General features: G+C 38.4%; 1 long non-coding RNA gene across 2 annotated transcripts; it reads right to left on the bottom strand.

The window, feature by feature from the left end:
* Nucleotides 1–14121: 14121 nt before the first annotated feature.
* Nucleotides 14122–17694, bottom strand: LOC105378010 (uncharacterized). Of its 2 annotated transcripts, none has more exons than XR_943010.2 (3): nucleotides 17575–17694; nucleotides 14403–14499; nucleotides 14122–14220 (listed from the first exon to the last, which is right to left on the bottom strand). It is a non-coding gene; the product is annotated as an uncharacterized LOC105378010 (long non-coding RNA). The 2 variants fall into 2 exon arrangements; XR_001743891.1 differs by lacking the exon at nucleotides 17575–17694 and adding an exon at nucleotides 16996–17158.
* Between the last annotated feature and the right edge of the window lie 4204 nt (nucleotides 17695–21898).

The following is a 21898-nucleotide window of genomic DNA, read 5'->3' as shown; positions in this document are numbered from 1 at the left end:
AATGTTTATAGACCATATCTGTGTTTGCTCAACAATTGTTTGTACTCTGCCTTGTAGACAGTGAGCACTAAATAAATATCTGTGAATGAGTAAATGAATGAGTAAATGAGTGAATGAATGGTCAGATATAAATTTTAGGTATATGATATGTAATAATTAGTTTGATTTGAGAAGTCCAAAGGCAGCAAGAAGACTAGGAAGCAACTGCACCAAGCCAGACGAGAGACGGCGTGTGTGGTGGTCATGAAGGTAGTGAGGAGATGGAAGCCATGCTCCTGGTTTACAGAAGAGAGGGCAGTTCATTCAGAGTAGAATTGACCTGCAAAGATCTTTGGGTTCTCGCACTCACAGGATTTGGAGACTGACTGAGCTCCCAGGTTTCTGGGTGGGTGACAGGGTGCTTGATGTTGCCACCAACTAAGTATGGGAATACAGGAGAAAAATCTTTAGGTCTTTGAGCACCCCACTACCAGATTAATCTTCATCAGACACCATTTTCATTATGTAACTCTCAAGATCAAGAATCCATAGTGACTCTTTTCTGCACCACAAAACAAATACTGATTTTTTATTTTGGTGTCCAAAGAACTTATTTTGGCATTCAATGATTTGGTACCTTCTCCTCCCCTGATCCCAGCTGGATTATATATGTTGTTATTGTTGTTATTGTAGTGCCTAAACATAGCGCTCGGTGAGTAGTATGTGTGTAATAATGTTTGTTTAAAGGACTTGAAAACAATTATATAATGATGCCTTTGAAAGTCATGATTACGAGTATGGGGTAATTCAGGAAAATAATAATGTAACTTGCCTTTACATGAATTTATGTTACAATTCATAATAGCAATCATTTATATAATGAATTTCATGTGCTACATATTAATTCTAAATGCTTTACATTGAGGAATTCATTTAATTCTTACAACCCTATAAGATAGATATTATTATTATTCCCATTCTATAAATGAGAACACTGGGAAGTTAAGAACATTGGTTAAAGTTGCATAGGTAGTAAGTGTAGAGAGTTTGGATTTGGACACAGGCAAGTCTGGCTTAAATGTTCACTTAACTATCACATCATATACAGCATCTTGTAGCTAACTCAGGACCCATTGATTATCATAGTTACAAGATAAGTAGTTATCTCATTTATCAAAGATGAACACACAACTAAATGCTAAAAAAAAGAGTAATCAAAATCTTTATCACCTTTGAGCAAATGTATTTCCTAATTCTCCATCATGTTATGCTCATGCTTAGAATTATTGAAAATGGTAAAGGTTTAAGAAGTTCTTTTGCATCTGTAACTCATTTGATTCTCACAAAAAGTTGTGCAGTTGTGGACAAATTTGTTATGCCTCATTGTTTTGTTTGTTTTTTGTTTTTTGAGATGGAGTCTCACTCTGTCATCCAGGCTGGAGTGCAATGGTGTGATCTCGGCTCACTGCAACCTCCACCTCCCAGGTTCAGGCAATTCTCCCGTCCCAGCCTCCTGAGTAGCTGGGATTATAGGCACGCACAACCACACCCAGCTAATTTTTCTATTTTTAGTAGAGACGGGGCTTCACCATTTTGGTCAGGCTGGTCTTGAACTCCTGACCTCGTGATCCACCTGCCTCGGCCTCCCAAAGTGCTGGGATTACAAGTGTGAGCCACTGCACCTGGCCCGTCATGCCCCATTTTCAAGAGGAAGGTGACACAGCAGAGCTGGAAGAGAAGAGTTTTGCTCAGGGCTCCTGTTTCTAACCCAGTGTTTCCACAGCGTTAGAGACTGGGTGCCTGACCTGAACTCTTTCAACAAGAGCACAACTTTCAGCAAACAAGCTCTAGGATCCAGTGTTACCACACGTGTAGGAAATATTGAACTTTGGATTGAGATCTCCTAGGTCAGATGTGCATGTGTAAACCACTGAGATTTTGTAAGAATACTTGCTAAAATGTTTTATTCAAAATATTCCTATATAGTCTTCTAAAATTTTGAAACAATTTACTGTTTATATCCTAATTCTTAGGAGCTTTTTAAAAAAACAGTTAATGGAAAGTTTCATAACTTAATAATCTCAGTTTTTACCGTCTTGCTGAATTACCAATAATAATTATTGCTAACAATGGTTGTGATTTGGTAACTTGTATTTGATTAATTCACTGAAAATGAATCTAGGCTCATAGATTCACCAAAATGGGAGGGGAGTAATAACAAGAATCTGCCACTTAGAGTTGTTCTCAGGATTGGCTATATGCATTAATTTGCAAAGTGCTTCAAACAGCTCCCCATGCCTAGCAAATATTCAGTAAATATAAACTATTATTTTTATTAACATTATTATTAACATAAGTACTAATGGTCCATAACAATTATCTTTTCAGGATGGTATTCCAGTATTTTAAACAGTGGCACCAAGAGCTGTTTTATGGAAGACCTGTGTCCCCAACTATTCCTGAGAGTTCTTTTGGGATCTTTCACTTACTATTTTCTCTTAAGTCCTTACCAAGCCATTATATTATTCCAGGCCACTGTTAAGAGTCTATCTTCCTCTCTGTTAGATAAAAGTAGTAGTTTTTTCCTCCAGTGTTATCTTCTAGGTGACATATCGAAAACTCAGTGGAAAGTTGAAGTCTGGAGTTAAATAAAGATCTAGTAGTGGTGTGAAAAGCATTTTATTGCTATTGTCTACCAGCTAACAACTTATTGATAAAGAAGATAAAAATTTTAGTGATCTTTATCAATTGTACCCTACAAGACTGATGCCCCTGTGTTTAACCTTACTTTGTGGTGATGGCCACAACTACTTTTTCATTATGTCACCTGACACTATTTTTTTTTTGACAGATCAAGAAATAAACTATTCAAAACAAAGAAAATCCACAAGAAAAAGATTTTGACTCATGAAAGGGGTACCCCTAACTTTCCTTGCTGGGTAAAATGAATCATTGTTAGATAATGACCTCAGGACAGACTTTTTAAAACAAAACATAATATTTTCATTTTCCTTTATCTTTGAATTTCACTCTTACGGATTTGTGGTTATAATGAAACATCCCTCATTTTATTTCAGAGCTATCTTCTGAGACTAGAGCCATTTCTGTGCCAAAGCTACAACCCTCAAAGATGCCTGGCTGGACACACTGGGAAATTCGTGTGAACAAATGAACTAATGTACTGTTGTGTTCTGTATGACCAGTGGGAAAATAGTCAAGATTCCTCCTAATTCTTGGAAAATTTCTTTCCTTCCCACCTTCCCGCCCTTGTCCAATTTCTCTGGTTTTACCTTCCTCTGTCTGTTTCCTTTTCACTTCATATTGTCTTCTCCTATTTTCATTTCTTTTCTCCTATCTTCCCTCCATTCCTTTACCTTGACCCTTTCACTCTGATTTCTTCTATTATTTATTTCCATCTAGGAAATTCTATGGCAGCTTGTAAATCCAAAATACAAACCATTACTGATAAGACCGAGGGACTAAAGCTAAAACATGTAATCAGGTCATCTTCCTGTCCTTGCATGCTTGCCCTGTTTCCCTGAGAATTCAGTTCCACCATAGTTCTTGGCTCTTGGTTCCCTGTCACATTTACAGTCTTGTTCCTAGGCCTACCCCTTTATGCTTTGCATCTTTATGTAATCTTTTTTCTTTCTTACCTTTAGCTCACTCTACCAGACTCTGGTGTGGGTTTGCAGTGCTGCATCTGCTCCTTGTCACCTTCATGACACCTTCTGTGTCCTGCTTCTATCTAATTGTCCTCTAGTGAGCCCTACAATGAGCCTGCCCAACCTGCTTCAGGGAGGGCATGGCCATCTCTCCAGCTCACTCCTTCCCTGCCATTTGCTAGGTCAGTGTTGTCTCCTGGGCTGAATGGTTCAAGTATTAATTTATTATAATATTTATTCATTCAACAAAAGTGTATCAAGCTCCATACATGATAATAAAGGTAGCAGACCTTTTCTTTTTTCACATATTCCTATTTTTCCTTGAGTTTCTTAAATTCTACTGAATCTGGGAAAGCAAACATTGTTATACATTTCATCTAACACCCTTCAAATAATACTGGATAATTAATTTTTGTGCAAAATTAAACCTAGCAGGCATTTTTAATTGAAGTATAATTTACATGGCACCAAACTCTGACTCACGTTGTTTCATTGGCTCTAAGTACGATGTCCTCATAAAATTAAACAAAACAAAACTGAATGATTAACAGAGTTCTCCATTTTTGATTCAGACATTTGACCCTGTTTAGGTCTGAAGCTTTATACAGACACAATAAGAATTGAATAATAATAAGTACATTTCACCCAGGTGTTATTTGGGGGTTGTATGTGTTTACCAAAATGGAAAAAAAAAAAAAAACCAACAAACTGCACAAAACATATTGAAAAGTCCATGAGGAATCTGACTTATCTTAAAGTGCACACATTTGCAGAAAAATAAAGTTTCGAAAAGCAATGTATGTTGAAGTTAGGACAAATACCTAATGCATGCAGGGCTTAAAACCTAGATGTTGGGTTGAGAGGTGCAGCAAACCACCATGGCGCATATATATCTATGTAACAAACTTGCACATTCTGCACATGTATCCTGGAATATAAAGTTAAAAAAAAAAAAAGGGCCGGGCACAGTGGCACACGCCTGTAATCCCAGCACTTTGGGAGGCCGAGGCGGGCAGATCACCTGAGGTCAGGAGTTTGAGACCAGCCTGGCCAACATGGTGAAACCCCATCTCTACTCAAAGTACAAAAATTAGCTGGGCGTGGTGACGGGCACCTATAATCCCAGCTACTCAGGAGGCTAAGACAGGAGAATCACTTGAACCCGGGAGGCAGAGGTTGCAATGAGCCGAGATCGTGCCACTGCACTCCAGCCTGGGAGACAAGAGCAAGACTCTGCCTCAAAAAAAAAAAAAAAAAGGAAACAACAACAACAAAACAATGTATGTTAAAGTGAATGGAAAAGAGATTAAGATCCTTGTTGAGTCAAAAAAAATTATAGCTTTTTATGTAACTCACAGTCAAAAACAATGCTGAATATTCCTTACTTCTGTCTTTCTGACTTCAACCCTCAACAGAACGAGTCTTATCATTTTAATATTAGTATGTTAACAGTAATAACGATAATGTCATTAAGTTATATACAATTATAAGCACTATTAAGTTTTAGCTTGATTTTCTTTTCAGGTAATTTTTAACAACCAATGTTTCTATTTGCAAAGTAATGCACAGATGTGAGTAATTGATATATTATTTGTAGTAACACTCTCCTTTGTGAGACAAGTACTCTAATTAAAATCAAGCAGATAGCCTGAAATCACGCTAGCTCCAGCAAAATGAGCACTTTGGAAAATGCATCCCAAATGAGAAAATGAGATTTCCTTGAGTCTGGTGTCTTTTGTGCCTCTGTGCAAAAACACCACGTAGCTTAGGACATTGAACAGAGATGTTACACTACTTCCCTGTTCTCCAGGCTAAAAATAAGCAGTATTTAAATTTCCCACTAAATCATTCTGCTTAAAGCTTAAAATATAAAATGCAGCATCTTCTCTTAATGAACTCTTAAGGTTAAAGAATTAATGTGAACTGAGCCCCTATGAAGCATGTTATTTTATTTATTCCTTTAACACTTTGGGGTAGACACTGGTGTCCCTGTTTCACTGGTGAGGGAATCAGAGCTCCAAGAAGTTAGGTCAGTTGTCCAAGGTTGTGGAGGCAGAGATGCTATTCAAACCTATGTCTGTTGACTCCCAAACCCATGCGTGTTTCACTATATATTACTTACTCTCTCCTGTTTGCGTTTGAGTTGATAGGACAGAAAATCACTCTGTCATCCATAGTTGCTGCCAGGTGTTTCCACTGGCAGGGGCTGAGGACAGCCTTACAACCTCCTCTCTTGAGAGGTTCTTTCCAAAGTGCCAGTTCAGAAAATAAGGATCACAAGAGTGGAAATAAGCAGCCCCGGACAGGCACAGGAACAGTGGAAGAGAGGTAGTAGAGACCCATTTACAACACTGTCCGAGCAGTGCAGTTGGAAGCTGGTTGGAAAACCATTAGGGGGCTTTAGAATAGGGGCAGATGAAGAAAGGGCAGGGGGGACTGGGAGAGAGAAGAGGAGTGAGGCAGGTAATACAGAATTGAGGGAGGGAGAAAATGGCTTGAAGGTGAAGAGGTTAAGTGGTTAGAGAAGGGAGAGTGGATGAGGATTATCAGAAGGCACAAGTAGGGCTTTGTGGTGAGAGCAGAGGGTGGAGGGCAAGGCACAGATGAGACGGGAAGGAACTTTGCCTAAAGAACGAATGAAAGAATAAGCGCAGTTTTATCTTCATTAGAAGTGGAAGTTTGTCTTATGTGACAGGTTGTTCCAACCCATTGTGTTGGGCAAAGATATTGGATTATCTCAACTGTTTACCATTAGAAATGTGTAGATTCTTGGGGCCACTTTATAGCAAATGCTCCCTAATATGTCCGAGCTTGTGGAATTCATTGTATGCAGTGGTGTGGTGAGGTGAAAACAGCATGTATTGAAAGCTCCCTAACTTCTGATCAATTAACCAGAATTCTCCCAATTTAAGAGCATACAGAGATAAAAAATAATTTTTCAAAGTGTAGACAACTTATCTCTGGGGGCCAACTCTATGTGATTCATAGATTTCCTGGGGATGAATTATACTTTAAAATATAACAGAGTCATCACCAGGTCCTAAAAGTCCTGTTTAAGTTTGTTGGAAATGTTGGGAAACTTCCTTAGATACCCAAAGGCCACATTGAGTTCACAGCTCATTTCATGGAGGTTTGCAAACCTTTCAGCAATGCTGAATTGGATTTCAGTTGAATTGCATGCGAACGTGGGCCAAGTTTCAAGGGAACATTGGGTATTTCTTTCAGGTAGAAGCCAGGTGAAACTCAAAGGGTCCAAACTGGGTTTTGCTTTGAGTTTCCTTTTGGTTCTGCTTGAACTTGACACTCAAAGTGAAACTCAGGAGATCTGTACTTCTTGCAAACTCGGGCTCAAAGGGAGGTTTTTGGAAGCAGAACTTGCATGCTGAAAATGCTGAGCTAACAGTACAAATTGGTGCTTCACCTTGCTCTGCTTAAACCTCTGAAGAGGGTTTCATCTGGAAAAAGAAGTTTTCTTGTAGTATGTACACAGTTCAGTAAAGCGTTGCAAGAGGACTTTGGGCTTGCCGATAGATTGCCTGCAACAAATTCCTATAATGCCAGATTGCCAACTAGAGTCCTCTAAGTAGCCTATGGAATGGATTAACCAAGTTCCTATATCACATCCTTGAATTTACATTAAAGCCATCTTGTTTAATTCAAATGAAATCTGAATGTATTACCTGGATAGTTGACCACAGTGACATGAAAATATTATCTTATTTGTGAAAATGAATAACTGGAAAGAAAATCCTGAGTTTCCTCCCCTCACCCCGCCTCCATTAAACACATCCATAAAGACCAACATATGACTGTCGTTAAAAGGTAAAGGCACAATAAGCATATAGATGACCCAATTTCCAAGATATTTTAAAAGATATTCTTCTGACCTGAATAGGGGTGGGTGCTAGGGCAGAGGGAATCTAATTTAGTTTTGGCAAACAAGCCTGAATACTAAATTAAACTTAACAGAAATGAGGGGCTTTTCGAGAAAGGAAACAGGCTGGCAGAATGTTGGCATATCAACAAAAGGAAATCACACAAAGAGAAAAGGATTAGTCAAAATAAAGATCAAATGAAGATCAAAAATAAATTGGCTTCAACCCAGGAAACATTTGTTACATTTTACAAGCAGGTCTTTCCTTCCCCCGTGTGAAGAACAGAGGAACCACCTGATCTTCCCTTAAAGGTCACTGAGCACTCTACATGCCTGTGATGAAATGCTCCTGGAGCCCCTGAGAAAGGCCAGCACAGGTGCGGTATTGGAAAAAAAAAAAAAACTTCCTATTCCTGTAACGATAAACGACATAAAGCCAATCATTATTGGTAAGCAGATTCTAAGGAAGTGATGGACCAAGTATTTACGCTTCCCAAGTACTTGCACAGTAGCTGCTTTAACATAATGAACAAACAATATCTATCTCACTATCTGATCTTTCTATATGTTAGGCATTCTGAAAGATAGTGAACTTTTTCAGTCTCAAAGGATCTTGTCTGATGCATCATTATAACCAAGGTCACATAATTTGTGGGGGCCTGTGCAAAATGAAAATGCAGGATTCCTTGTTCCAAAAGCAGGAAAAAGTGCAGTAAAAGGTACTAAATGTAAGACTTTTTCTTTTCTTCTAGGGCCTCTTTCTCTACTTACAATGTTTTTTATTTTCTAATTAATGTTATTCTATGTAAAGAAAAATTAAAACTTGAAATCATTAGCATGAATTTTACTGCTCATTTTTATTTTGTGCATGGCTAGTCTTACAAGCAAACGTAAGAGCATTGCCTTAGTATTGCGGAATTACCGAAATTGAGCAATTCGTAGTTTGTAGTTCACACATACATACGCATTTCATTCTTACCAGAAAGGTGGAAATGCTTCACAAAATTAACTCAACTGTTTTCATTTCACTCCTTGATATGCATATATTGTGGCAACACTCTCTACCTTCAGCTTACTGATGAGTAAGGAAGCCTTGAAAGAAAAGGAACTATGGGTTGCCCTATCTGTCCCTAACACAGAGGATTTATAGAAGGCTTTGCTGGAGAAAGTTACATCTGGAGACAGTAGAAGCAAAGTATAGATGTGAGAATTTCAGGATAATAGTCTGGTAAAGGGCAGGATTACTGCATGAGATTTAATACACTTTATCACAACTGATGGTTTTATTTTTTTCTTGTTTTTGTATCTTTTGGATTCTCTATAATTAATTGACACATTTTCTAAGTGAGGTGTTCAGACTCATCATGAGAATTAGATCACCTCCACCAAGTGCCAGTGTCATTCAGAAACTTCCATCTTAGGTCAGAGATTATAAATCCAGTCCTGACTAAGCCATTCACACAAACATTCACAATATGTAGGCAGTCCCAATATCTTTTCTAAAACAATGTCTAAAAATAAATGCTACAAACAATACAATATTTTAGACTCCACGGAGGAGCTGAAAATGGAATGGTGCTGGACATCGAAATGTTATTTAATTCTGAAAGGTGATTTTCTGTGAAATCAAACTCTGAGGTCCTTGTGATACTATAATTATCCTACCCGTTTAAAGAACAAGGAGGTCCCAATTGTAGGAAACCATTAGCTTTTGTGTTTTTGTGTGCTTTGTACTTTTTTTAAATAGATGAAGACATACAAATAAGATTTTAATATATCCTTAAAAAGAGTGCTGTATATTAACTTCTGAATTTGAAATGCATTTACTCTTCATGTTGTTTTATTATTTTACAAATAAACACACACAAATTATTTACAAACACATGCACTCATTTTACTGGTATATGCAAGTAAGTTATCGATATATAAACTTAAGGAGCTGTTATACAAGGATGGGTAAATTAGGTGAGTGTGAGCAGGAAGGGAAACAAATTCTCAAGGTGTATACTGCAGTGTCTCTTCAAATTACTTGGTGGTCTTGGACAGCTGTGGCATGCAAGGATCTGATAGATGGGTGGAGCATCAAGCCATGAAGCCTGAGCCATCTCTTGGGGAAAAGCCTGAGCAGAACCCGAAGAAATGATGAGCCACACATTTTTATCGGAGGCATAAGTCAGAGAGCCAGTGCAGAAAAACACCATTTTTTCTTAAACCATTCAATTATAGCTAAATAGACTATCTTTTAAAACAAAAATGAAAAAGAAAAGAGGAGAAGGAAGGCTGATCCGCTAAGTATGTGAGATCATGTTTATACTCAGGGTATGGGCCCAGTCAGTGTTGTACCCTTGATGGCTACAGATATTCCTCTAAATCATAACCTCAGAGCTGTGCTTCATTAGTCATATGAAGAATCACAGAAGAAAATGTGGGTTAGTTTGTGCAAACGAAACACGACTCCAGGAAAAAACAGCGCAACGTGCGTGCCCTGGAGACCACGGTTCAGAAATATTTCACACAAGGGAAAAACATTTTATAAACAGCAAATGCCACATGCTTTTGAGTGTCTGAATAGTAGAAGTGGCTTTTCACTCTCATTCGGTATCCCTTGTGACCAAGCATCTGGTCCCTACCTACATATAGCAATGACCACAAATCCTATATTTAGTAGATCTATACTTACTTGTCACTTAGAAAAATAAATTGCCCATTTGAATTTTTGTTTATTATGATCTAGAACTCACATGGATTATCTGCTTTACTTTTGCCCTTACAAGTCTGAAGGGAAAAAAAAGTTTAATTTTGATAGACATTTTTGGACTAGACTTCTGGGAGTATTTTATATTTTGTGATCCTCTTTTTCTTTTTGTAAATTTCTTTATGGGAAAGACAAGGTTCAAAAAGCAAGTGGTTGTGGTCTGTTTTCTTAGACTTGCCTGGCAGTGCCTACTCATTTCTTCACGGCTGGACCTAAATGCCAATGATAATGGCACAGGCGTAAGTGACAGAGCAAGGGAAATGTCAACCAGATTAATTTGAATCAGCCCAAGGCTGCCTTTATTCCTGGATTTTTTCACTGATATGTTTTTTAAATATTAGAAAGCAAAGTTGAGCAAATACACCCATTTTATTTTTAATTTTTTTATTTCAATAGGTTTTGGAGGAACAGGTGGTGTTTGGTTACATGAATAAGTTCTTTAGTGGTGATTTCTGAGATTTTCGTGCACCCATCACCTAAGCAGTATACACTGTACCCAATGTATAGTCTTTTATCCCTTGCCACCCACTACACTTTCCCCCAATACCCCAAAGTCCAGTGTATCATTCTTATGCTTTTGTATCCTCATAGCTTAGCTCCCACATACGAGTGAGAACATACGATATTCGGTTTTCCATTCCTGAGATACCTCACTTAGAATAATAGTCTCCAATTCCATCCAGGTTGCTGTGAATGTCATTATTTTGTTCCTTTTTATGGCTAAGTCATATTCCATTATATATATATATATCACATTTTCTTTATCCACCTGTTGATTGATGGGCACTTGAGTTGGTTCTATATTTTTGCAATTGCGAATTGTGCTGCTGTAAACATGCATGTGCATGTGGGGTTTTTTTTGTATAATGACTTCTCTTCCTCTGGGTAGATACCTAGTAGTGGAGTTGCTGGATCAAACAGTAGATCTATTTTTAGTTCTTTAAAAAATCTCCACACTGTTTTCCATAGTGGTTGTACTAGTTTACATTCCCACCAACAGTGTGAAAGTGTTCCCTTTTCACCACATCCATGCCAACATATACTCTTTTTTGATTTTTTGATTATGACCACTTTTGCAGGAGTGAGGTGGCATCACATTGTGGTTTTGATTTGCATTTCCCTGATCATTAGCGATGTTGAGCAATTTTCCATATGCTTGTTGGTCATTTGTATATCTTCTTTTGAGAATTGTCTATTCATGTCCTTGGCCCACTTCTTGATGGGATTGTTCATTTTTTTTCTTGCTGATTTCTTTGAGTTCTTTGTAGATTCTGGATATTAGTCTTTTGTCAGATGTATAGATTGTGAAGATTTTCTCCCACTCTGTGGGTTGTCTGTTAACTCTGCTGATTATTTCTTTTGCTGTGCAGAAGCCTTTTAGTTTAACTACGTCCCATCTATTTATCTTTGTTTTTATTGCATTTGCTTTTGGGTTCTGGGTCATGAACGCTTTGCCTAAGCCAAAGACTAGAAGGGTTTTTCCAATGTTATCTTCTAAAGTATTTATGGTTTCTGGTCTTAGATTTAAGTCTTTGATCCATCTTGAGTTGATTTTGGTAAAAGGTGAGAAATGAAGATCCAGTTTCATTCTACATGTGGCTTGCCAATTATCCCAGCACCATTTGTTGAATAGCGTGTCCTTTCCCCACTTTATATTGTGTTTGCTTTGTCGAAGATCAGTAGGCTGTAAGTATTTGGCTTTATTTCTGGGTTCTCTATACTGTTCCATTGGTCTGTGTGCCTATTTTTATACTAGTACCATGCTATTTTGGTGAGTGCAGCCTTATAGTATAGTTTGAAGTCAGGTAACATGATGCCTCCAGATTTGTTCTTTTTGCCTAGTCTGAGCAAATACTTTCTTTTTTTTGAGACGGAGTTTTACTCTCGCTGCCCAGGCTGGAGTGCAATGGCACAATCTTGGCTCACTGCAACCTCCACCTCCCAGGTTCAAGCGATTCTCCTGTCTCAGCCTCCCAAGTAGCTGGAATTACAAGCATGCGCCACCAAGCCTGGCTAATTTTGTATTTTTAGCAGAGATGGGGTTTCACCATGTTGGTCAGGCTGGTCTCAAACTCCTCACCTCAGGTGATCCACCCGCCTCGGCCTCCCAAAGTGCTGGGATTACAGGCATGAGCCACTGTGCCCAGCCTGCATTTTAAATATTATCATGAAAATAGTTTTGACCTCATGGACCCCAGACCACACTTTGAGAGTCACTGCTGTGAAGTGGTTATTTCCATATCTGATTGATATTAATACCAGTACGGGTAGCATACTATACACTTCATCCTCACCTTGCCTATTTTCCACTTAACCATGTATTCTGAAGATCTTTCCACACAAATATAAGGAAAGCTTCCTCACTTGCTTTTGTAATAGCCTGCTTTTCCATTGTCTGCATTGACTATAACTGAGTTTAGCAGTTCTCTTCTGAATTCTGCCTGTCCCATTTAATTTTTTTCTATAATAAATAATAATGTAGTGGACAGCCTTGTAAATACAGAATTTTATATACAGGCCAGTGTATTTGTGAGAAAACACTGCAGAAGTAGGGTGCAGCTTGCAGTTTCTTATATCTGGCCAAATTGCCCTTTATGGTGGTTGCTCTGCTTTGCACACCTACCCTGAATAGGACTTCTCCCCCAACTTGCTGGTGGAAACTTTGCAAATCTGTCAGGCGAACAATGTTATCTTAGTGTAGTTTTAATGTGTGTTTCTCTTGTTATAAACAAGGTTGGACATTTTTTTCATATGTTAGGGCCATCTGTATTTTCTTTTCTGTGAACAATAGTTTTTCTTTCAGGTTTTTTTTTTTTCTTCTCAATTTCTAGCGGCTTTTAAAGTATTAGGGATGGTATGGAGGGGCTTTTAGAGTATTGCTTCTGCTACGAATTTCAAATGCTTTATCTCAATTTGTCATTTGTCTGTACAGTTGTTTGTGGTGTCTTTTGCCATGTTGCATTTTTCCATTTTTATGCAGTCTACTTGATCAGTCTTTTTTTTTTTTTTTTTTAATTCTTGGCTTCCAGATTTTGAGACTTGGTTTAGAAAGGCTTTTTAGTTGTAAAGAAATGTATAAATATTTTCTTCTTTTATCTTTATCTTCTTGTATCATAGTGTACATTAAATTGTTGACACATGTGTAGAGTACCTTGATATATATTTAAAAGATGAATCCAATTTAGTATTTTTCCATATCTTATCCACTTTCCCCACACCATATATTTATTGAAAACCCCATCTTTTCCACACTGAATTGAGAAGGAACATTTATTATGTAATAAATTTCTAATTATATTTGGTTTCAGTAGCATATGAACAAAAAACACAAACCTCGTAAAGTAGTAGGATTTATTCCAGCAATGCAAGAATCATTCAGCATTAGAAAATGCAGTTATGCGCCAGGTGTGGTGGCTTACGCCTGTAATCCCAGCACTTTGGGAGGCTGATGTGGGTGGATCACTTGAAGTCAGGAGTTTGAGATCAGCCTGGCCAACATGGTAAAACCCCGTCTCTACTTAAAACACAAAAATTAGCTGGGCATGGTGGCGCACACCTGTAATCCTAGCTACTAGGGAGGCTGAGGCAGGAGAATCGCTTGAGCCTGGGAGATGGAGGTTGCAGTGAGCCAAGATCGCGCCACTGCACTGCAGCCTGGGTGACAGAGTGAGACTCCATCTCAAAAAACAACAACAACAACAAAAAGAAAATGCAGTTATATAGCTCATTAGATTAAAAGATATCACACCCACCATGTTGATAAATGTCAGTAGTAGAATCGAATTGACTGAGAGACCAAAGACACTTCCTGATAAATCAAAAAAATTTACTTATCTAGAAGTTGCAGAAGGAAGTCAGCGTGATCAGGATATACAGCAAAGAAGCCAGCAGCCTTCTTCAGTAACAGACAGAGGTCACTGGCAGATGTGCAATTGCAGATAGCAAATCTGAAAGAGTAAGAGTCATATGAAAACTCCTAAAATTTCAACTGACCCCCTCCAAACCCAGCCTTATATTCATAAGACTGTGGCAATTCTCCTACAGACCAGAGTGGACAAGCGCAGCGAACTGTATCATCAGAATTCAATGCAGCATCAGTCTCAATGGAACCCAATACATACTAGACTACCTGGCATGGTGCAGACAGTGTGGCATATTTAGTATACTCATCCCCTCAGCTTCTTCAAGCTGCACATCCTGTACCAATTGTTTTCCCGAACTTAGATCTGTGAAAGAAGAAAAAGTGCCAGTTATAAACCTCTTTGGGAATAACGTTTACAACCTCGTAGAAAAGCTATTAAGACCAAATCTATAAAAAGAAAATATATATAATTATCTCAACAGATATGAAAAATAACATTTACTGGTAAACAATCAAGAACTCATAAAGATAGAAATCTTAATAGCCTAGGACTTTACCAAGAACCAGTAGCAAGCATCCTTTTGGTGAAATATCAGAAGAATTCCTACAAATACAAGGATTTTTGCAAAACTACCACCATTAAATATGTACTGAAGATCCTGAAAAATACTCTGAGAGAAAGAAATTAAAAATATGAATATTGAAAGGGAAGGGATAAAAGTGCCAGTTACAGGAGATAGGATCACCTATACAGATATTAAAAAACTCAATAGATGAACTATAATAACAATATAAGGGTCCATTAAGGTGGCCAGATACAAGATTAACATACAAAAATAAAGTGCTCTATATACCAGATATAAGAAAACATAAAAGGGAAAAAGCCCCATTTACAGTAGCAACAATGAAAAATGAGATACTTAGTAATAATTATAATAATAAATTTTAATACACCTATAACCAAAAAAATCAAACTTTTCTTAAGGTTGTCAAAGAAGACTTCAAAAAAATGTAGAGATAAGCCATGTTCTTAGATGGGAAGACTGGATATTGTAAAAAAAATTTAATTATATAATTAATGTATAAGTTTAATGCAATCATAACTAAAATATTATCAAAATGTTTAATAAGGTTTAATTCAGAAATTCCTCCAGAAGATAATTAAAAAATTCACGGAGAAATTATGCAAAAATACGTAATAAATGATGGGGGAAAATCACAATCACTGGACCTTGCATTACTATAGAGGAAAACATAAGCTTTACTAATGAAAATAATATGATATGGGCATTGAAGTGGACATAAAAAGAGAAAATAATTGGTAACCAAGAATTCAACCTTACTTGTATAGAAATATGGTAATTTAAATCTAAGGGAGAAAGGTAATAAATGTTATTGGGAAATTTAGAAAATGATTTGGAAAAGAACAAATTGAATAAGACATGGTTCCTCCGCTAAAGAAGTAAAGGGTTTAGTCAACGCATACCACATTTCCTCATTTTCTTATCTCTCGTGACACGCACACTATTTTCGGGAGGAAACCAAGGACTTTTTTCCCAATCTCTTTTCTTTATTCCCAAGAAAATTAGTAGTTCCAAGACCATGGAGACAGTAAGCTTAATGATGCATATTTGAGGTGGATTTTTCTGCACCTTATTAAACAAATGCTGCTTATTTTTGCTTTTTATAAAGACTCTGATTTATTGTTTCTAGTATTTGATAAAAAGAAAATGTTTTATTGCTATTTGAGATCTTTTACAAATAATGATGATATAAACTTAGATGCAAGTCGGCCTTTCTGAGGAAGTTTTTAAATAAAGTTTGAATATGAGGAGTACATTCAAAGATCTTTTTTTTTCCCTCTATATTTCTCTGTTGAATTCCTTTTTTATTCTAGAACTTGTTGGAGGAAAGAAACAGAGGCCTTTCTCGTAGTAGTAAAAGAATTCATCTTTTTATCTGTAAGAATGAAAATAAAAGGAAAAATTCTGATTGTCTGTAATATAGATGTGTTGTCACTTAGACACACAAATAGCTTAGTCAAGGCAGTTTCAGAAATGATCTTCCCGGCAGGGCGCGGTGGTTCACGCCTGTAATCCCAGCACTTTGGGAGGCCAAGGTGGGTGGATCACCTGAGGTCAGGAGTTCAAGACCAGCCTGACCAACATGGTGAAACCCTGTCTCTACTAAAAATACAAAAAATTACCCAGACATGGTGGTGGGCACCTGTAATCCCAGCTACTTGAGAGGCTGAGGCAGGAGAATCGCTTGAACCCAGGAGGTGGAGGTTGCAGTGAGCCGAGATCACACCACTGCACTCCAGCCTGGGTGACAAGAGCAAAAAACTCCACCCCCCCACCCCCCTCCCAAAAAAAAGGAAATGATCTTCCCCTATTAAATGATTAACAGTGTGTTTAAAGTGTATTACTAGCTAGGACTTTATTATTATTATCAGTAGAAATTCTACTCTCTACAAAAGCTGTCAAATGGTATTTATCATTGTAACTTCTCTCTCCATTTCTACTTCCAACTTAGTGCTGTATCTATAAGAACAGAGGTAGATATCCATGCAGGTGGAGACTATTCACCTATGTGTGTTATAACTTCAGTTTCTAAACAAGAAGTTATGCTTGCAGTCTCAGAGTGATCTTCAGTTTGGTCTTCAATTGGAATCTTAACTTGAGAACTAGACTTGTTGGACTGCTTTCTGTACAAAACAGAAAGTTGACTAAAGTTAGCAAAACCAGAGAGATTACAACCTAGGAAAAATATATCAAGTTTGCGGCTGAATAAGATTAAGAAAAATAAGAGGAGATTCTATTGATTAATATTTTTTCATGATGAAACTATGTGCCTACACCTTTTAGTAGCGAAGGAAGATTTTGAGGAGAAAAAGGAAGCATCATTGTCCTTCTATTAACTTGGTGACTTGTTGGCTGTCTTTCCTAGCAAGCCTTGATATTCAATCCAAATAGGAATCCTTGGGCCAGGTGCGGTGGCTCACTTCTGTAATCCCAGCATTTTCGGAGGCTGAGGTGGGCGGATTGCCTAAGGTCAGGAGTTCGAGACCAGTCTGGCCAACATGGTGAAAACTTGTCTCTACTAAAAATACAAAAATTAGCCCAATGTGGTGATGGGTGCCTGTAATCCCAGCTACTTGGGAAGTTGAGGCAGGAGAATCACTTGAACCCAGGAGGCGGAGGTTGCAGTGAGCCGAGATCACGCCACTTCACTCAAGCCTGCATGACAGAGTGAGATTCCGTCTCAAAACTCCTTAGTTATTCCAGGCAGAGGGTAATTTTCTCTTACCCCTGCATTTTGCAAACTACTAAAGAGAGTGCTGCCCCTCAAATATCTTCCTCTGCAAATCCTAGACTATAGTCTGACAAGGTCTCCTACCCTCACTGCTGCTCCTTTTACCCTCAACTCCCCAACTTACTCCCTTCAATCTAAGCCTGGGAATGGCCCCGTGAGGTCCGCTGGCTTCCTGTTGTTAGATCCCAGCCAGGGCAGCTGCCGAGCATCCCATACGTGGCGTGACCATGAAGCTTTCTGGGGCTTCTCCTTTCCCCTTCACCAGAACTGCTGCCCCGAGGCCCGTGTTTGCGATGGACAAAACTGCCCTTTGTCATTGTCACAATGGGTGCTCTTTTCCAGAGGTGTAGAGATGACTCCTCTGCTTTCCTGCTTTTAGTCGGATGACAGAGAACAGAAAAGAAAAATCCGTCTCAAGGTCACACACTTTAAACTTCTCTGCTCTCTTCTCACAGATGGAATAGAGAATTGAAGTCGGTTTTTTCTTTTATTCCACTCTGCACCATGAAAATTTAACGTTTTCAGGATGTAGCTCTCCTGGTGGAAATGCTTCTTGTTCTTCCTGGAACAAGGAATTGAATTGAAAAGGTGTCTATAGAACATTCTACAGATACCTTACAATGCAATAGGGGGAAACCTCAACTCTGTCTCCTGATTCCTCGCCCCCATTTTCAACGAGCACGATAGTCCAACCTCCTAGCAAAAGAGGAATAAACTTTCACCATGGTGATCCCTGGCCTATGGTCTTAGCCTCCCAGGGCACAAGTAAATCCCCTGTGTGATTGTTTGGTTTAACCTGTGTATATTCTGCTGCTTATGTTAATGTGCATTTTATGTCATTATTGGTCTTTTTTTTTTTAACCCTGCACCAGTTACATGCCATAAATTAACACAGATTTTAGGAGTTCATTAATATTTCTTGAATATCTTCTGTCTGTCAAGAACTATAGTGTCACCTTCTGATGTGAAGGACTATGTGTAGTTCTTTAAGGTAGAGATTCAAAGAAAAGAAATGAAAAGGAAAGAAAAAGAAAAAAAATGAAGAGTGGTGATCATTGGGTTGGCCAACATTGTTCGTCTTTGTTTCTCATTCTGCCTGTCTTCTTCATATGAGCTACCTCCCAGTTACTACCTCCCCACAGCAGCTTGTCCCAGATGGCAGTAGCAGAAAGGGAGCCGGAATTACTCAACTCTGAAAGGCTTTCTCAATGTATGGATGAATGGATGGGTGATCATGTGTTTGCTTTACTATTTTTGGTGTTTTAGAGTGAAGAACAGAAACAATATGGCAATCACCAATTTTGACTGGCAACATCACAGATCAAATTGCTTCTCTGCTCAAAAGCCTCCACTTTCTTTCTATCTATCTTGCAATATAATATAACACCATAATATAATAAAACAACACGTTCTTATTGTGGTCTACAAAGCCCTACAGGATCTCACTGCTACCCAATATTCTGACTTCACCAGCTGCCATTTTTTTCTTTCTCCCTATAATCTAGCCAGTAACATTAGCCTCCTTACTCTTTTCTAAACATGCTGGGACACTCTTATCTGAGGGCCTTCGAACTTACTCTTCTCTCTGGATCTCCCTGTCCCCAGATACTTACTAGGTTATCTCCCTCACTTACTCAGTTCTCTGCTCATGTATCACTTTACAAAGAGTCTTTCCCCAGCCACGCTTTCTAAACTGGTTTCCTTCTTACCCCCATCACTCTCTATTCCCATAACCAGCTTTACTTTTTTATAGTACTTACCATCTTTTGCTATATGTTTGTTTATCATTTGTCTCCCCCAGCCAGAATATATAGACTTCATGAGCTTGGATTTTTGTCTATGGCCTATATCCCAACACTTAGAATAATACCTGGGACAAAGTAGGTATTCAAACATAGCAGATGCTGTCATATCCTCCTAGGTTCCTTGGATTCTGTCATTCAAGTGTGCTCTGGCCAACTTCAAACTGCCTGTATCTGCATCTCCAAGCTCCAGGACGCTTTCTAGAAATGATATATAAGACCATTCTACCTATTCTATGCATCACACTTCAGGATTTACAACCATCACTACCACAGAGCAGCCCTCAATCAATGATTCTCATCATTTGATGCATAAATACTACAGCTGCCTTGCTCTTCAATGGAGGAGAATGGGAGTAAGGAAAAGCGGGGAGGGGAGTTGTTCTGAGACTTTGGTAGCTGTCCTAATAATACACCTGTGTTGGCTGCCTTCTTTCCCTGCATCATTTCCCCCTCCCCTGCTGGTTTTTACTTCTCAAGTAAATAATTCACTCTCAAATTCTTATCTCAAGGTCTGTTTGGGGCAATTAGAAAATAAATATTTGTTATTGTTGAATGAAATATTCATAGCAGATTCTGGATACATGTGTAGAAAAAAGCTGGATGGGGGCAGTTAGGGCATAGTTTCACAGATGACGGAAAGTTGGCTGAGCAGCAAGGGGAAGGCGCTATCACCAATCAGGAGGAGACAAGTTGGTTGCATTAATAGGACTTCCAGGATGATGTTGGGAAAAAAAGGAAAAGAAATAAAAGATACATTAAGGTGAAAATGAAAATGACTCCTTGGCAGCATCTGAGAATCAGTATCTGCAGTTGAGTCCTAGAAATGGCTGAACACAGAAACAAGCACACAAAATGCCAGCTTCATGGGTGTGAAACCTGTGCAGCTGCACAGACCGCACGCTCAGAATGACCCTGTGTTTGCCTTAATGCTCTGCTGTTGCCATCTTGAAATTCTTGATAATTTTTGAACAAGGGGCCCCACATTTTAATTTTGTACTGGGCCTCACAGATTACGTAAGCAAGCCTAAGTTCATTCCGTAGTTTCTCACTGCAGTTTAGGAAAAGTCAAGAACTATAGTTCAGGAAGAATAATAGAATATTAAGGATTTAGAATGAGAGAAATAAGACTTAAAGAGCTGGCTCACTAAGAAATTCTCAGGGTCTTCCCACAGTCTACTTTAGTTAAGAGTGCTCATTTCCTGTCTCAGATGCAGCCACATTGGAAACAGAAATAAGTTATTTAGTAATATTTCATGGCACTAATTACTTAGCACAAATATGAAAACATTTGATATATATGTGTGTGTGTGTATACATATGTATGAACTATATAGTTTATAGTTTGTTTTGTTCAGAGGAAAAAATACAGTTGATGCTAACTAGAAAAAGACTGATGAATGGCAGGGCGGGGTGGCTCCCACCTGTAATCCCAGCACTTTGGGAGGTTGAGGCGGGGGGATAATCTGAGGTCAGGAGCTCGATACCAGTCTGGCCAACATGGTGAAACCCCCCGTCTCTACTAGAAGTACAAAAATTAGACGGGGGTGGTGGTGTGTACCCGTAATCCCAGCTACTCGGGAGGCTGAGGCAGGAGAATCACTAGAACCCAGGAGGTGGAGGTTGCAGTGAGCTGAGATTGCGCCATTGCACTCCAGCTTGGGCAATAAGAGTGAAACTCCATCTCAAAAAAAAAAAAAAGAACAAAAACAGAAAAACACTGATGGAATGCTAGCCAAAAAGTCATATTTGTCATCATAGTCGACCTGTAATGTTCTGTTTTTGTGGCATGTGCCCTATTAGCTGCTAGTGGCTTTTTAATTGATCATTCATCTGGCTGTATAATTGGGAGGCTGCCAGGAATCTTTGATGTTTCCTGTCTGAAAAAATGGCATATAAAATGCTGTTTTAAAATATGCCATTCTACTTATTTCCACTTAAAATAGAGGAGATTGAAAACAGTACATGTAAATACCAAAAAGATGTCTTCTGATATTAAAAAATAAAAAAAGTATTTGAGAAAAAAATTAATGATCCCCCTTGTGGGAAATTTTGAAGCTTGTGGATTTTTAAGCAGGGAGGCAAATAAGTAAAGCATCGCAGCATTTTTCACTAACTAAAAACAGATGTCATGTGATAATGGGTGTTACATCTGCAGCTGACACCCACTTCAAAGAACAGGTGCCTCTAGTTGTTTAAAAAAAAAAGAGAGAGAGAGGGCCGCTCTTATAGCAGTCTACAGCAGGCTTCAGGAAGTGATGAGGGGGGGCCATGGAAAGACCAGCCCCTTGGACGCTCTGGGTCACTACGTCATGGTGGTACATCTGGGCACTTAGGTCCTCAGTGACCTTTCTCCCAGGTAAGACTTCAATGTCAGAGGTTAAACTGCTAGATGATTACATTTATTTAAAAGTTATTACTTTAAATGCAGTAGAATGAAGTGAGGGCTTTCCTTTACATCATATACAAAAATTAACTCAAAATGGATGAAAGATCTAAACACAAGAGCTAAAACTATAAAATTCTTAGATGCATACATGGGGGAAAAACTTCATGACGTTGAATTTGGCAGTTATTTTAAGATACGACACTAAAAGTACAGTCTAAAAAAGAAAAAATAGATAAATTGGATTTCATCAAGATTAA

Source organism: Homo sapiens, chromosome 6 (assembly GCF_000001405.40).
Source record: "Homo sapiens chromosome 6, GRCh38.p14 Primary Assembly".
Lineage (NCBI taxonomy): Eukaryota > Metazoa > Chordata > Mammalia > Primates > Hominidae > Homo > Homo sapiens.
This window is presented reverse-complemented; position numbering and strand designations above follow the sequence as displayed.